The sequence below is a fragment of the Homo sapiens genome, chromosome 7 (assembly GCF_000001405.40).
Source record: "Homo sapiens chromosome 7, GRCh38.p14 Primary Assembly".
Lineage (NCBI taxonomy): Eukaryota > Metazoa > Chordata > Mammalia > Primates > Hominidae > Homo > Homo sapiens.
This window is the reverse complement of record NC_000007.14, coordinates 90595596-90612928: the sequence shown is the minus strand read 5'-3', so window position 1 is coordinate 90612928 and position 17333 is coordinate 90595596. Positions and strand designations below refer to the sequence as shown.

General features: G+C 41.5%; 1 protein-coding gene and 1 non-coding gene across 2 annotated transcripts in view, besides 6 other annotated features; one reads left to right on the top strand and one right to left on the bottom strand.

The window, feature by feature from the left end:
• Positions 1 to 16608, bottom strand: part of CDK14 (cyclin dependent kinase 14) — a 614270-nt gene extending 597662 nt beyond the window's left edge. The window contains exons 1-2 of the mRNA NM_001287135.2: positions 16211 to 16608; positions 8680 to 8711 (exon numbers count right to left, since the gene is read on the bottom strand). Of these exons, the coding sequence (NP_001274064.1) occupies positions 8680 to 8711; positions 16211 to 16301 (123 nt within the window). The 5' untranslated portion in view covers positions 16302 to 16608. The remainder of the gene's footprint in view (positions 1 to 8679; positions 8712 to 16210) is intronic.
• Positions 1527 to 1727: a silencer, noted in NCBI's record as "peak6628 fragment used in MPRA reporter construct". NCBI's record gives its function as "represses an SCP1 promoter by STARR-seq MPRAs in K562 erythroleukemia cells {active_cell/tissue: K562}" and the evidence as "EXISTENCE:reporter gene assay evidence [ECO:0000049][PMID:32103011]".
• Positions 5821 to 5925, top strand: LOC124901839 (small nucleolar RNA U13). The gene has a single exon (XR_007060675.1). It is a non-coding gene; the product is annotated as a small nucleolar RNA U13 (small nucleolar RNA).
• Positions 7865 to 7914: an enhancer, noted in NCBI's record as "active region_26246". NCBI's record gives its function as "activates an Ori minimal core promoter by ATAC-STARR-seq in GM12878 lymphoblastoid cells {active_cell/tissue: GM12878}" and the evidence as "EXISTENCE:reporter gene assay evidence [ECO:0000049][PMID:35858748]".
• Positions 15971 to 16020: a silencer, noted in NCBI's record as "silent region_18361". NCBI's record gives its function as "represses an Ori minimal core promoter by ATAC-STARR-seq in GM12878 lymphoblastoid cells {active_cell/tissue: GM12878}" and the evidence as "EXISTENCE:reporter gene assay evidence [ECO:0000049][PMID:35858748]".
• Positions 16081 to 16280: a silencer, noted in NCBI's record as "silent region_18360". NCBI's record gives its function as "represses an Ori minimal core promoter by ATAC-STARR-seq in GM12878 lymphoblastoid cells {active_cell/tissue: GM12878}" and the evidence as "EXISTENCE:reporter gene assay evidence [ECO:0000049][PMID:35858748]".
• Positions 16471 to 16780: a silencer, noted in NCBI's record as "silent region_18359". NCBI's record gives its function as "represses an Ori minimal core promoter by ATAC-STARR-seq in GM12878 lymphoblastoid cells {active_cell/tissue: GM12878}" and the evidence as "EXISTENCE:reporter gene assay evidence [ECO:0000049][PMID:35858748]".
• Positions 16801 to 17000: a silencer, noted in NCBI's record as "silent region_18358". NCBI's record gives its function as "represses an Ori minimal core promoter by ATAC-STARR-seq in GM12878 lymphoblastoid cells {active_cell/tissue: GM12878}" and the evidence as "EXISTENCE:reporter gene assay evidence [ECO:0000049][PMID:35858748]".

Here is a 17333-nt window from a genome sequence, read left to right as displayed (position 1 = left end):
ATGACTTTCTGGATTACTGGCATAATTAAAGAACAGTCTAACTTTTAGACCTCTTGCATGGAAGGTTCATAGCATCTAGGACTGGCAGATATGACCACAGTGAAAATAAAACAGTACAGAAAGTAATATAAAATCTTTTTTTTTTTTTTTTTTTTTTGAGACAGAGTCTCTCTCTGTCACCCGGGCTGGAGTGCAGTGGCACAATCTCGGCTCACTGCAACCTCCGCCTCCCGGGTTCAGGCGATTTTCCTGCCTCAGCCTCCCGAGTAGCTGGGATTACAGGTACCCACCACCACACCCAGCTAATTTTTATATTTTTGGTAGAGACAGGGTTTCACCACGTTGGCCAGGCTGGTCTCGAACTCCTGACCTCAAGTGATCCACCTGCCTCGACCTCCCATAGTGTTGGGATTACAGGCGTGAGCCACCGTGCCTGGCCTATAAAATCTTACTATAAGAGAGAGTGAGATTGAATCTCCACCCAGGCCCAGCCCTGTAAGATGCTGAGAGATGGTCAACCCATAAATGCCTGTGAGGCTGAACTAGATCAAGAGTCAGGCTGAGACCATATCCAGCCTGACATAAAACAAACGTCATTTGATGCATGAATCTTTGAACAGGGGAGTACTATGACAAGAAAGATGTTTTGGGAAGGCTGAGTGGAGGAATAAGATGGAGCAGTGATACCAATGAAGAGTTTATTGAACTAAAATAGGTAAAAGTGAAAAGGTTCTGAACTGAGATGGCAGCAGCTGCAATGATAATGAAGTCACGAAAATAAAAGATAACTGTTTGAAGCCAGGTGTGCTGGCTCACCCCTGTAATCCCAGCACTTTGGGAGGCCAAGACGGGTGGATCACCTGAGGTCTGGAGTTTATGACCAACCTAGCCAACCTGGTGAAACCCCGTCTCTACTAAAAATACAAAAATTAGCTGGGTGTGGTGGTGGGCGTCTGTAATCCCAGCTACCTGGGAGGCTGAGGCAGGAGAATCACTTGAACCCTGGAGGTGGAGGTTGCAGTGAGCCGAGATTGCGCCACTGCACTCCAGCCTGGGTGACAGAGTGAGACTCCATCTCAAAAAAAAAAAAAAAAAAACACACAAAGATAACTGTTTGATAAGAGTCAAAAGGTACGAAAGAGATAGATCGTGAAAGGCCTTGAAAGATAAGCTAGGAGTATGGAGTTAAACCTGCACCTTTTAAAGCAGTAAGCAGGGGATCGGCAAATTTGTATTTCAGACCCATCATTCTGTTGGAGCAGGAGGCAAGTCGTAGGCAGGGAAGTCAGTTATACAACTACTCCAAGTCCAGGAAGAGATGACAAAGCTGAGTGTGCACATCAGCTGTGAGAATGGATATGACAGCAAGGAACAAAAACCAAGCCAACACCTGGATGCGGGGTTGGAGAAAAGGTTAGGATAGCATCAGGTTTTTAGCTTGGAAAATCATGTGGCTGGTACAGCCAATAGCAGAGAGAGGAACAAGAGAAGATGCATGCTTGGGGAAATACAAGAATTAATGATATGTGCTGAAATCAAGGTGACTGTGAGACATAGCGGCAGAAACTTCTAGTGGGCAGTTGGACATCTGGATGTGGAGGTTAGAATAGAAAGCTGAGTCAGCCACACTGACGTCAAGTGTACATCAACCACTCAATCAGAGCATGAAAACTGATCATAGAGGACAGAAGGCTGAAGTTATGGACGAGATGGGGAAGACTTAAGCATGTTCAGAGCCTATGGTGAAAGTATCTAGAAAAAGGAGAGGGCAGAAAACATAGAAAAGAAAGGAAAGAATCAATTATGTAAGCTTCTGGAGTAGAAAAGAGGGAAAGGAATTGAGAAGACAGGAGGAGGAACTGGCCTGGAACAAAACAAAGGACAAAACCCCCTCTGAGATCAATGGGAAAAAAGGAGGTAAGACTGGAGCAAATGAGGGTACATGAATGGGCAGGATGTTGACAGGGAGTGGACACCTAACGGTATTAAGGGCTCTAAGAAGTTGGAGGGTATTACAGGTTGAATTGTGTCCACCAAAAATTCATATATCGAAGTCTTAATCCCCAGTACCTCCAAAAGTGATCTTATTTTGAAAAGGGGGTCGTACAGATGTAATTAAATTAAGAGGTCATACTGAAGTAGGGTGAGCCCCTAATCTAATATGACTTGTATCCTTGTAAAAAGGGGAAATTTAGATAGACAGCCATGCATTAAGGGAAAACAATGTAAAAAGACACAGGGAGAAGGTAGTCATCTAGAGCTAAGGGGAGAGGCCTGGAATGGAGCCTTCTCTAACAGTCCTCTGAAAGAACCAACTCTGCTACTGTTTGTCAGACTTCTGGTCTCCAGAACTGTGAGACAATAAAAATTCTGTTATTTAAGTCACACAGTTTGTGGTACTTTGCTAGGGCAGCCCTAGGAAACTAACAGAGAGAAAGCCTTCTACTAAAAGAAGAAAGGGTGGAGGAGGGTCGCAAGAAGGCTTAGGGGGAGTGAAAAGAGTTCAGCAGGAAACAGGCCAGCGGCACAAGGACACAAATGCAAGATGGTCCACAGTTGCCTGACGTTCCAGCTAAGGATGGAAATGATAAATTTATTTATAGAGTGATTTCCTCAAGCAGCTCTTGGCAGCCACTAGGTAAGATAGGAAAAGATGCCAGGTCAAAATCAAGGGCTGGCAGCGTACATTACAAATGAAGTACAAAGGGGTAAGGCCATTGAGGATACCAGCAAGAGAGTGATGTTCCCTGAGTGATCAGGGAAGGAACTATGGGGGAGAATGGGTTATGGACTATGAGAATGGGATGGGACAGGCAGAGAAGGGATCATCTAGAAACTGGAAGCCGGCAAAGAAAAGATACAGGGAATACAGCAGCAGTGAGAAAGCTAAACAGGAAAGATTGTTAGTGGGATTTAATATTTTAAATCTAGGACAGTCCCAGTAAGATGCAGTTCCTGCAGAAACCAAATAAGGGTAAAGCAGGTATGAGACGAGAAAGTCAGGGATGCTAGAATGTTGTATGACAGCGTATACATCATCCATATGGACACTGAGACAGCCCTTAATGGTGATAGTCAGGGTAGAGAAAAGACTGAACCAGCTTCCACCATGCTCAATAAATGGAAAAGAATGACCAGAAATATCCACAAATCATATTTGTATCTAACCACTTGTATTAGTCCATTTTCACATTGCTATAAAGAAATTCCTGAGACCAGGTAATTTATAAAGAAAGGAGGCTGAATTGGCTCACGGATATGCAGGATGTACAGGAATCCTAGTGACTTCTGCTTCCAAGGAGGCCTCAGGAAGCTTCCAATCCTGGCAGTAGGCAAAGGGAGAGCCAGCTTCTTACATGGCAGAAGCTAAGAGCAAGACAGCGAAGGGGGAGGTGCTACACACTTTTAAACAACCAGCTCTCACAAGAATTCCCTCACTATCACCAGAACAGCACCAAGGGGATGGTTCTAAATCATTCAAGAAGGATCCACCCCCACAATCCAATCACCTCCCACCAGGCCCCCCTTCCAACACGAGATTTGGCAGGGACACGATCCAAACCATATCATCCCTAGATTCTGGTTCTCATAAAAATCACTGCATGGCTGTATGTGATGGCTCACACCTGTAATCCCAACACTTTAGGAGGCTGAGATGGGAGGATCACCTGAGACCAGGAGTTCGAGACCAGCATGAACAATATGGTGAGACTCCATCTCTACAAAAAATACAAAAATTAGCCAGGTGGTGGTGGATGCCTGTGGTCCCAGCTACTTAGAAGGCTGAGGTGGGAGGATAGGTTGGGCCTTGGAGGTGGAGGCTGCAGTGAGCCGCGATGGCACCACTGTACTCCAAACTGGATGACCAAGGGACACCAAGTCTCAAAAAAATAATAATAATAACTGCCACCTTTATTATCTCTGGTATTATATCTTTATATAAAATAACAAAGAGGGACATGGACTAGAAGCCAATATCATTGTGCACAGTCTCCACCTAACAGAATTGTTATACTAAATGTAAAGTAAGCAAGTTAACCTATAAAAATGTGCTTGGAGCACTCACAGACCAGATGTAGAATTTTTTTTAATTTTATACGCTTTGTATACATTTTCCTAGGATTTGAAAAAATAAAATAGCTGGAAAATGACAAAATAAGTGCTAGCAGCCTTCTACTTCACAAACATAAAATAACTCACCAAAGCAGAGAAGAATTAGAAAACTCATACACGGTCACCCATTTTTAGGAAACAAACTAAGTGCTTAATTATCTGGATTATATGCCATAAACATATGAAATTCTTTGCATTTCAAAGGTTTATTCTAATTGCTAAAAATTTTGTATTTCTCACCAAAGAGCCAGGCAGAGCCAACACTTTGTTCTGGCAATCATCAAAGCTAAAAAACAGAGGGATAAAGCAGAACTGCATGAGTTAACCTTTTAATTTACCCATGAGAACAATTCATGAATTGCTGTAGCTATCACCATTTCCAACTATTTCCACATACACATACACATACACTTAATTAGAGCTTTTGTCTCCAAAGTTCAAAAGGTTTTACGCGTGGTAATTTTACATTGGTGGACATTATCTGTATTTTCTGACCTTTCATATATTAGGTATCATTAATATTCTAAAATAAATCATTAAATCAAAAATAAAATTCAAAAATTCACCAGAAATCATAGTGTAGTTATTGTTCATTATTCCAGGAAAAATGGGGCCACTTAAGGACATGGTCTGGTCATTTATTAGGAACAAAAGGGTAAAAAGACATTTGGAAATTTCTGCAGTCATTTCACAGGTATGAAGTTGATGCTTTACCCAAAACTCTCATCACAATGTCACTAGAAACATTATGTCCACTAAAAACTATGACACAAAATACCAATCTTCTTTCACCTTCAATCTAGCTTAACCATGTGTTTCTCCAATAATTATGTAGCCCCTTCACTGTGGCCAAGTACTATGTCAAACCCTTCCAAACATCAAGAAGCTGGGAGGGGAAAAGGACTGAAACTAATAAAATTTTACTTGGGATATTTTAGAAATGATTAGTCCATCCAAGTAAAATGTGTAGATTTAGACCACAGAACATTAAATGGCTAATATTGTAGTCAGGGACCAAATACACAATGAATGAAAAGCAAAATGATCATTCATAGAATGTCCCCTCTCCAACTATGACCGCCTTCAGCAAAATTCCTATTGTTTGCTTATTGTAAATACCTGAAGCCCTCAATACTTAACTTCTAAACTGTTCAATTAAACACACACACAAACACACACGTGTGCTCACAAACACAGCCCAGTTTACAACAAGCATAGTTCCTGAATATAATTCCAGTCTGGTTTTGAAAATTAGCAGATTAGACTGAAATCATGGCATTTCAGTCTATGATTAAATAAGTCTGTATTTCTTTTTCTGCTGTGTTCAAGGTCAAACATTTGACACATACTCTAGAGGCATCCTCTACATGAATCAGGGAGTTGTTACCAAACTCCAGCTCAGGCACTCTCTGGAAGAGGCCACTCCTTGAAATAAGGAGCCTTCCAGCTCATAAATACTAAGGAGAGTTGCCACACCTTATTGCATACCTAAGAAGCTGACCCAACCCTCAAAGTTTTAAGACTAAAATCTGAATTGATTCCAATGGACTGTAGAGTTCCCCAGCTCCAGGAGAGAGAAGGTAAAAAACAAGCGTTCAAAAAAATTTCTACTATTATAATCTGAAAATGATCACAGAAGAACTCAGTTCCTATGTACATAAGCAGAGTTTTAGTGCTCTTTTCTGATGTGATAAAATTGTCATTTTGATCCTTTTGTATAGTTCATAAGCGTGATGATTGGGGTTTCACCTCATGTGTAAGATGTGCCTCCCTCAAACCTTACTACAAGGTCAGTACATTACCTGTCTGACATAAAACATGAAAAAAAATTGTAATCTTATGTTGGTTGTTACATTATTTAGAATCCTACATTTAGAGCTAAGAGGCAACTTGAAGATCATAGTTCAACTGATTTTACAAATGAGAATGTCATGGCCGGGGTAAGTTAAACGACCTGCCCAAATAACTAGAAAGTGGCAGATGAGAATCCACATTGCCTAACACCTAATTCATCACTCTCTCTACTCCTCTACAATAGATATTTACTCACATTCAATAGATACGTACTGAAAGTTAACTACGAGCAACACACTCAGGGATTAAAAAGTGAATCCAATCACCCCCATACGGAATCTAAACAATGGTGGGTTTTAGATAATATTTTCTCAGTTTTAATATGCAAGTCATCACATGAAGCTTTAGGTGAAATGTTAGAGGAATATCTGAAATTAACTCTCCTCATAGCTGTAATTCTTCATTTTTAATCCTTCTATCTACTCTGTAGCCCTTCCAACTACAGAAGGTGGATGTCAAAGTGAAAGCATCAATGACGATGATGATGGTGATGATGAAGGCAATGAAGATGATAACACCAATTATGAGCTATTCACTTTTTGTGAGCCATTATTCTGAAACCTTCATATGCATTACCTTATTTAATTATCTTAACCCTTAAAGGAAAGATACTATTATTATCTCTATTTTACAAAGGATATGAAATTAATAAGTCAAATGCCCAAACAGAGGGTAGTTGAATTGGGGATTATACCCCGGCATGCCTTCATTACCACTATCTCCCAAGATTTTCTGGCCTTGAGTCTTTCCTTCATTAGCTGGAAATGACTTGCCCCTTCTGGATCTCAATTTCTTCATCTGTGTAATGATGGAGTGGGAAAATTATTATTTCCAATGGATCTTCCAAGTAGAGCATTCTGTGATTTACTGATTTGTGATAGTTTACAATCTCTTGTGGCAGAGGAAGGAAGCCACTTTGCAAAAGCTAAGGATGATTTTGACCCAAATTACAAACTCCAGACCTTTGACTATACAGAGGTTTCAGAATAACAGAGAGAGGGAGTAGTTACAGGTTTGACACATCTTTAACCTTCAGCTGGGCTCCAGCCTCAGGTGCTTTTTAAAGCTAATCACTAACAACAGTGTTTAAGCAAGAAAAAAGGTTTTCGAAATGCCTAATGATGATTAGGAAGAGTTTGTAAAAACATGGGAAAATATAATGTTATCATATCAAAGAAAAAAGCGGGATATAATAATGGGCTGCTTTTTTTAAAACACGGAGAAAGAAGCAAGAACATTCAACAGTTGTTGTATCGGGGTAACAGGATTTATGAGATTTTTTCTTTCTCCTTTTCCTTATTTCTCTCTTTTTATGTAAGCTTAAATTATCTACATAATTAGAGGGGAAACTTTCTTTACAAAGAGAAAAATGGTACCAAATATTCTCATATTGATTGCTCCTGAAAAGAAAGAAAACACTCTCCTGAAAAATATCTCAATAACAACACTACCGAAATTCCAGAAATACATGTTTAGAGGAAAACTCCATTATTGCCCACTATGAAGGAAGAAGAAAAGACTCCTCTATTGCTTCAAGCCTAGAAGAATTAAGTTTTTTAGAGGATGTCACAGGAATGCTGGCAGGGAAAGTTGCTTTGGAGTCCAGGGACACACAGCTTTGTAAAGCTCAGCCCAGGAAAAAGAGAACAGGTGCAGCAGATGAAGCAGCAGACCGTGACAGCCAAATGACGGTGGCCCCATCCAGAAATCCCAGCCTGGAGCAGGTTCTCTCTGAGCAGACCTGCCATGCACCACAGCCAGCCACATGGCCAAGGGGACTTTCCATGAGCACAAATGCCCTTTCCTCACTGAAGCACTGCAGCAGAGGGAAGACAGGTAGCATATTTCATGGAATATGTAACTATTAAAACAAACCAAACCACCAAACCAAACTGATTTATGCTTTCATCAGGCTTTAGGGTAAGCACACTGTATAGATAACACCCATGTTCCTATATAAAAACACAATCTATATACACATGTGGCCCAGTTTACAACACAGATCAATGAGTGTGGCTCAGGATGGTTACAATGAAACATTTCACTCTTTGGCACTGTGAAAATATTTTGTAAACATTCACTATTTCTCTGGTGATTCCTACTTATACTACAAAAATTCAGGAATGACTGCAATTTTAAAATCACATTCAGGATGCTATTTAATTACATATGAACTCTCTGCCTTACTTGAACAGTATTTTACACTACTTTGTGGCAAGTAGATCAAGACGGATCTGATATACAAAGAATAGGAAAACTAGAACAGGAAAAGTCAGCTCCTCCCTTGGGAGACTGACAGACAATATGTGGCATCGACAACACATCACACCCTGATTCAGCTGAGGTCTGCAAGGAGCCATGGTGAGCCATGGTGCCCAACTTACCAACAGCTCCAGACTTGCCTTAAGCACGTACATCACTCTGCGTGTCTCAAGCACTACCACTAGCAAGAAGGCAACAACACAAAGGCCTGCATGTGTCTTCTAATTAGCTCATTTATTAATTGAAAAAGACATATTTCTGTTACTTGCTACCAAAACTCATTTGAACGATTATTTAAAATTTGAAAATATAATAATGCAATGAAATAAACAGATGTTATCTCGCGTTTTAAAGGCATTTTTTTTGTTTCCAGGTACAAAGTTGGCAGCTACTGACTTTACCTGGTAGTCATTAAATACATCTAACATTAGATAAAGAAATTTAACCTACCTCATCAAAGGTGGTGTCATCTTTCTTCAAAGCTATAAAATAAGAAGGAAAAGGAAACAGTTATTGTGAAAAATTCCAAAGAGACTAAGTTATAGAAAACAGAAAAAAAAACAAGGCAGTATGGTGTTTTCATTTCAGAAAGTAAATTGTACCCCAACCTGAATAACAATGTTATGATACAAATATGAAAACTGCAAATGAAAGAGAATTGCACAGCATGCATCTTTTGAAATATTTTTTATAAATATGCAAATAGAACTATCCTCCCAGATATTAGAAAGAAGCACACATAACTGTTCCCTATCTCTTCTTTAGTTGGAACATGTTTCAATGAAAGTATAAAAGAATCACGAAGTAATCTTAAAGAAATTTCCCCTTAAACTCCTGGGTTTTGAGAAGATATCACCAATTGTTAGGATGACACCTTCTTTGCACAGAGCCCTGAATGACATTTTCATACTAAGTGAAGTGTAAGTGTGTTGATGAAAGACTAAGCCTGCTAAAACAAGCATTGCAGAGTAAGAGACATAATTTAAACATTTCGACATGATAAATTTTATAACAAAGTATTTCAAAAGAAAACAATACATTCAGAATATTTTATAGGAACCAGAAAATACTTCAAATTTACTTTAAATCCAGACATGTGTCACTTAACAACTGGGATACATTCTCAGAAATGCACCCTTAGGCAATTTCATTGTGCAAATGTCACAGAGTGTACTTATACAAACCTAGATGGTATCACCTACTACACACCTAGGCTATATGGTATAGCCTATTACTCCTGGGCTACAAACCTATACAGCATGTTACTGTACCAAATACTATAGGCAACTGTAACACAATGGCAAGTATTTGTGTATCTAAACATAGAAAAATGTACAGTAAAAATACAGTATTGTAAACTTGCGGGACCACCATCAAGTATGCGTGACTGTTCATAGCTTTAGAACTGGAATTTTTTCACCCAACATAGAAGAAGAATTTCACCTACAGTTGGCAAACATCTAGTTCCTTACATTTTACAATTACTTAGAATGTTTCATATTAAGAAGAATGCATTAAATAGCTAATTTATCTGAAACTACTAGCTGGAGAAATGTTTCAAATTTACGGAACAATGCATAGGTGTTTGCTGCTTTATACATGATTTAGTCTGGATAGAAGCACTTGGGTAGCTATTGGAAAGCTTTGTTCTGACAAAAGCAATGAAAAGCAAATTATTCTGGCAATTAAGCTCTGAGAAAAGTAATGTGCCTAAACTGAAGCTATCATAGAAAAGCTTAGGATACATACTCTAACAATCGTGAAAAGGTTATTTTCTCTGTTTCATATATTTGTGTTTTCAAGAAGAATGTGATTGCGGTGAGTTAAGGGGGATGCAGGTAGGCTGAGGGAAATAAAACGTTTCTAAAAGTTTCTTATTTTTCCCTTTTGCCTAATAAACTAATCTTTCTTTATTGGATAACCATTTCTTCTGAAAGTGAATGGAAAATAAAAAGATAGTCCTTTGTTGTGAATGGCTTATCTTGCATTCAATTACTTGCACATGTTTTAATTATGTATTTAACTTAACCTACATTAAAACTAAAATAACCTACATTAAATCTAAAATAATCTGTTTTGATAGAACCATATTAAGATCCTAGCTAATTCCTAATGACTGCATTTTCACTAGAATTTAACTTCTAGGCTACAAGGCTCTGTATAAATACCAGTCAACAATATTACCATACTGTCTACTCCCTCAACCCAAGGCGTGTCCTTTAATTAACATACTTTGACTAATGAGTCCTTTACAAAACATTAGTAATGTAATTCTAAATAGAGACAAGTTGCTTCATCTGAAAAACTAAACTTTTAGGAATAAGAAATTAATAGCCCATTGATTTCAAATACAAAGTCTAACATAAGCAAATTGCCATACAGCCTCATACCTAGCTCATTTAACAAAGATTAATGGAACACGCGCACTATGTGGCTGCCATGCAAGATGCAAAGCTACAGCAGCAAACTTACAATTCACGGCACAAACTTTTAAATATACTGTCTTTATTTTGGACATTATAAAAGTTCTGGAAATTTAGCCATGTGTTTTCTTAAGCAAAGCATCCAATAAGAACTACAGTTGACACTACCCCACCAGGTGCAGTGGCTCACACCTGTAATCCCAGCACTTTGGAAGGCTGAGGCGGATGGGTCGCCAGAGCTCAGGAGTTTGAGACCAGCCTGGGCAACAGGGGGAATCCCTGTCTCTACAAAAACAATACCACATACATACATACATACATACATACATACATACATACATACATACATACATAAAATTAGCCAAGCGTGGTGGTGGTGCCCTGTGGTTCCAGCTATTCGGGAGGCTGAGGTGGGAGGATCACTTGAGCCTGGGAGGCAGAGGTTGCAGTGAGCAAGATTGCGCCACTGCACTCCAGCCTGGGCGACAGAGTGAGACCCTGTTCCTCTGCCGCCAAAAAAAAAGATACTATCCCTTAGGGAACTGCAAATATGGAATGAAGACCCTCAAGTTGAGAAATGAAGACAGCAGAAAACTGGAATTCCTTGAACAACCAAACTGGACTATTTCCTTCTTATCTCCTAAGTCCTGACAATTCTCCAACATTCTGGACAAAGAGGTGGGGTCTGGAGGTATCAAGAGGAGAAAATAGAAGAAACTGCAAGTGTATTTGCTATGACATAATGAACAGGAAGCCAGATTATCTCATCTGCACAATACTCTCAAGCTCAAGGTACCACAGAACACCATTACTTCACTGAAGTCATTCACTGCTAGACTGACACCTTACACGGTTTCTTCTAAATATTGAGTCCTTGTCCTGAACAGCAGTTAACAGTGACAACAAAGACCAACTTAAGATGTCTTTGCCAGATGTTCATCAGGTCACTGATGAGTAAATTCTGACCCAAACAAGAACACAAGATCTCATTATTGATTACATTCCCTGATTGCCATTAATCATTCATGTAAATGTAAATCCACAATTATCTTTAAGGATTTCATGGAGTAACAAGCATATTACATTATTCTGGAATAGCCAAGGGGCATATATCAAAATATTTAAGATCAGCAGATATTCTATTCAGTCCTCTGCTCAGACAGTCCTTCCTCTAGAAAGCTTCTCATGATTTCACCTAGATGAAAGTGATGCTCCTCCTGTGTTCTCCAACAGCAAATTTCGCTAATCTTCATGGTAGAATCTGTCACTTTATATTGTAAATGCCTGTTAATTGGCCTGTTTTCCCTTAAAATCCTTGAGGACAGGGACCACCCACATTAGTCAGTCGATCTGACTGTCAGAACAATATCTACAGTGGGGAAGAGGTACTAAATAATTATTTGTTGAATTAATGAGTCCTACCTCAATGGCAAAAGGAGAGTATCTTTTGAGACACACTTAAGTTTTGGTGTATGAAAATGCTACACTGGTTCTCTCTTAAAAGATCATGGATATAAATTCCATTTTGTAGTTTTCAAATTAAAATATTTTGAAGTTGCATTGGGGAAAATGTGGTACAACAGTTAAATTTTGTGTCTGAACATTTAACCTTATATTTCTCTTTTCTGACATAATGAATTCGTCACATGACAACTGGACTCTAGAATTACACAGTTACAGCACAAGGTAACAAACCCCAAAGTTCAGTGTAATCACAGCCTCTTCTTTTTATTTAGTTCCCTCACAAACCATGTCCTTTAAAGAAATGGTATACATGGTGTTCATCTCAAATATCGCAGAGTATAAACTTCCTTTCTCTAGGAGACAGTCCAAATAAGTATGAAGCAATGCATTCAAATGAATATGAAAAAATGTCAGTTTGACCTTAATCATACACCGGATATTACATAAAGCCTTTCTCCTTCTAGGCTAACATTCAAAAATAAAAAAGAAACAAGAAAGAAAAGAGGAAATGAACTTTAAAATACTTAAACTACTCAATAATTAAATTCCCATTTGTCTTTGTTAGCCTAAATTTTAAAAAAAAGTGTGAGACAACTGTAGTAATTCCTAAATAAGGAACCACGCTGACACTATTTAGTAGAAAACCATAAATACTACCGAAATTGATGGGTGACTTTAAAATTCAATTACACTCATCTTATAAAAGAACCATAACTATATCATAGTCATTCCCTGGCAGATGTCATAAATTAGAGCACTATGGCTTGAAAGCCATGTGTTTTATAATATAGTAATCTCAGCTCAGCTGTATTTGGGGTGGGCAGTGACAAAGTCAGCATGATCTCTAATGTGTAAACAAATTAAACATTAGCACTGCTTTATGTATTTAGAATTATTATTATTAATGATAAACACTGACCAGACATCAGATACTTTCAAATATTTCCTCATTTTCAATAGATGAATGATTAATAATTTCTTACAGCTAAATAATAGTATTGTACATTTCACCATACAACAAGCTACACTTTTGGATAATACTAAAGCAGCAAAATAAAGTCAGCATGTCTATTTCAAAAGCTTAGATTGGTTAAAGAGAATGAATATGTTGCAGTGTGGATTATTCAACAAGAATAAACCATTCACTCTTCGATCTCCTCATGAAGTACCAATGAAGAAAGGAGGATGATGGGGTATAAACAGAAATTGCAAGGAACAATGACAGCCTATGGTATTGACCTTCACCTTGTGATAGATACTGCACTAGATTTTTCAGGTGTTTTATCCGATTTAGTCTTCACATATATTCACCGTATATGAATATTTACAGATGAGGACTCTGGGCTTTAGGGTAATTCCACCGGCTGCAAAATTCCACTGGCACAGAGCAAGCAGCGAAAACCCAGTTCAAATCCAGGCCTGCCTAACTCCGTTTTAAGGCTGGCTACACTACAAAGTCAATGGCCACTTCCCTCTTCTCTTGCTTTCTATCTATAAGATCAGTTATGTCAGTATGATGGAATTCCTAATAATAACAAAAACAATGATAACATATCTTGAACGTTTACTGAGTCTTTATTTAATGTGCCACACAAGACATGGTATGCATTATTTCACTAAAAGCCAACAACGAAACTGAGTTGTACATGAAAAACTGAAGCTCAGAGAAGTTGAGAGACCTTGGCTGGGCATGGCAACATGGGAAACAGTCTGTGTGACACACAGCCCACATTCTTAACTCATGCACTATATAATCCCACAGTAAGCCCTCAACTCAACAACCTCTAGCGCCTTAAAAATCCTTAGATAGGCCGGGCGCGGTGGCTCTCGCCTGTAATCCCAGCACTTTGGGAGGCCGAGGCGGGCGGATCACGAGGTCAGGAGATCGAGACCATCCCGGCTAAAACGGTGAAACCCCGTCTCTACTAAAAATACAAAAAATTAGCCAGGCGTAGTGGCGGGCGCCTGTAGTCCCAGCTACTTGGGAGGCTGAGGCAGGAGAATGGCGTGAACCCGGGAGGCGGAGCTTGCAGTGAGCCGAGATCCCGCCACTGCACTCCAGCCTGGGCGACAGAGCGAGACTCCGTCTCAAAAAAAAAAAAAAAAAATCCTTAGATAATCAGAATGAGTTCACTGGTTTTAATTTTGCAAATACAATATAAAACATCAAGAAAATAAGAAGATACAGATTTTGTTTCTGTAATGCTACTTTGAATGTCGTTGGCTTGGTATACAACTATAATCACTTCAATATCTCCTATTACAATACTCCATAATGAGATCTACGATTCAGAATCATATTTTCCATCAATACAAGAAATAATCAGCTGTGCTCACTGCACTGCATTCTGTGTCCTAAAGGGAGGATATAAAATCCACCAGCTCTTAGAAGACATTTTAACAAGAGTTGGATTCAAAAGGAGTTTCACATCACTAAATCTCAGTAAGCTAGAAAATCCAATTAACTATAATACCCCCATTTGCCAGCACTGTACTTAATCCAAATTTTACTGATTGTCGATCAAAACCTTGAAATTATTTAAATATAAGGAACTTTTAGATTAATGTCCTTGGTTTCTTACTGAGACTCAATTGCAATGAATTATTTAACACAAAACTGGAGGGGCTCCAGCAGAATCATTAGCATTAGTAAATATATAGTTAATGTGTTTTAGAACACGGCTTAATGGACTCCAGAACCCGCCTCTGCGACGGTTTGGGTCAGGGTTGAAACATCCTCGTTAATAATGCACACGACTCAACATTTCCCTCTCTCACACTCTTCTTGGCTTCAAACTTCATCTTAATGCAGGGACTCTCCACATGTATCCCTAATTCTGAAGAGTGAAATTAATATCCAATACATGCAATAAATAAAACTAAAGATTGGTTTCATACCATAACTTTACAGTCATCTGGGGAAAGATTTTGCATACCAACACAAAATTTTAAGTCGAAAGACAAAAAAAAAAAAAAAAACTTGGCTAAATTTCGATCCATTGTACTCTCTCACTTGAAGAAAGTTTGCATATCTTACAATGAATGGGTGGAAGGATATCTGTAACACTCATGTGCATCCCAGGGTTTTATTTTAAGGAATTAAGTACCTTTATGTTTAATTTCCATTAACACTTTCGTTAACATGGATGACATTTAAAACAAGTGAAACAAAGACTAGGCAGCTTCCTAGGGACTCGCAGGGGTTATCTTTTGTGTCTATAGCATTCTCTTGCTCAGGGCAGTTACATGTTATTAGTGAAAGTTGTGACAGTAGGGGAGGCAGCTAACTCTTCAGGTTAAAAGGGGTTTTCTATGCCCAGTACTCAAAATCTAACAAACCCATTCCACGTGATACTGCTGTCACCCTATTACAACCTGTGACATGCATTTATTCGTCACTGTCCTAAACACTGTTGGTCAGTTGGTTTGTTGTTTGGTTTAAAGACAACAGCCCCTGAGCTCTATTAAATGGAACAAGTTCGAGAGACATTCCTAAATGTCCAGACAACTCCACAGCGCGCATTTCTCTCCAGCAGCGGGAAGATTCAGAGACCTCGAGACTGAACACCCAAATCTCGCTTTCCAGGACCCGAAGTACCGAACAATAGGTCCCAAGGTAACTGTCCCACTTCCCTTTAGGTTGGATACGTTAAACAATACCAGGGCACAGTCTAACGTTTCACCAATTTCCAAAGCTAAATTACTGACTAAACGCCCAATATCCAAGCCTGTGCGCAAAAAATAACAAGTGGCCCAAGCAGCCGCGCAGCCCCTTGCGCGGTGGGGGCCGAGGGGTCCCCTCGCCCGTCCCCCACGCGCGCGAAAGGGCGAGCACTAGTGGCGGAGGAGGGGAGAACCCATATTGTAGGCTTGAGAGAATCTACAAATGAACCCCCAGATCCTGAGGAAGAGGGGTCTCTTTCCTTTACGTCCTTGCCCTCCCCCGGGTCCCTAGCACTGTGCCCTCGATCCCCGCCTACAACGCACCCCACGCCAGCCCCGCTGGCAGCTGCATGGCTGGTGCCAGGAACGCGGCGGGGGCGCAGGCCGAGGGGAGCGGGCGCTGGGGGGGCCGGGGGCAGCGCGCTACTCACCAATGCGACTGAAACTCTCCGACAAAGTTCTCCGCAACTTCTTCATCTTGCCGATCTTCTCGGCCGGCTGCGGCTCAATGAGGTCACACATCTGGGCGACGCGGAGCCCCGACAACTTCCCCAAACTGGTCCAGGCACAGCTCAGACAACGGCGAGGGCGCGCGCCGCGGGGAAAGCGGCGCCTCCTCCTCCACCACCTCCTCGGCGGGCCGGGAAGCGACGCGCAGGTCTAGGGAGGCGAGCAGCAGGCAGGCGGAGGACGGCAGGCTCCGCTCCGGCCTGGGCCGCAGCTGGGCGGGCGGGGGCGGTTTACGTGGTGCCGGGGGCGGCCGCGCTCGCCGCCGCCGTGGTGGCCCCGCGCCGCGCCGCCGCCGCCCGGCTCATTTTCCCTCCTTTGTAACGGAGAGAAGCGCGGCCGGCAGGGGGAGTGGTGCGGCCGAAGGAGGAGGCGGGGCGGGCCGGGTACAAGGTGCGGGAGTCGCCTGGCGCCGAGTGCGCGGGGCGAGGGCGAGTGGGCCGGCGGGAGAAGTTCTCAGCCCAGAGTTGCGGGCGCAGCGCAGAAGGAGCCGCGGCGCGGAACCGCCAGCCTGACAGCTCCTGCTGCCCTCCTGCTGCCGCCGCCACGCCCCTCCCTCGACGAAGGCCCCTGGGCGCGGGATCCTAGCACGACCTCGGCTCCCCGCTCGCCTCCCGCGTCCTCCGCGGCCCTCTGTGTCTGGCTCGCGCCCCGGCGGCGCCCCCTCCCGGCCGCGCCCCTCCCGGCCGCCCCCGCGCTCCTCCCCCGCCCCGCCCGCGCGCGGGAGGATCACGAAGGGACCGGGGTGGGAGCGGGCAGCGTCTGGGGACAGCGTGTTGGGCTGTGGGGAGGTTACCGAAAGGAAACGGGCCGAGTCCAGTTGTTTGAGCGGTTTTCTCCTTCCACGAGCGTGTGTGAAAAAGCGCGGAGTTCGGTGGAGGGCAGCTGCCAGGACTGCCTCCTGGACTGGGTGCGGTAAGGCCTTAGGGATGCATTCAGATGTAGGGTGCCTTATTTTGGGCCGAGAAAGCTGTCAAGTGAAAGATCCAAGGGGAAAGGTGGGCCTGGATTTTTTTGTTGTTGTTTGCGGTGGGTTTTTTGTTTGTT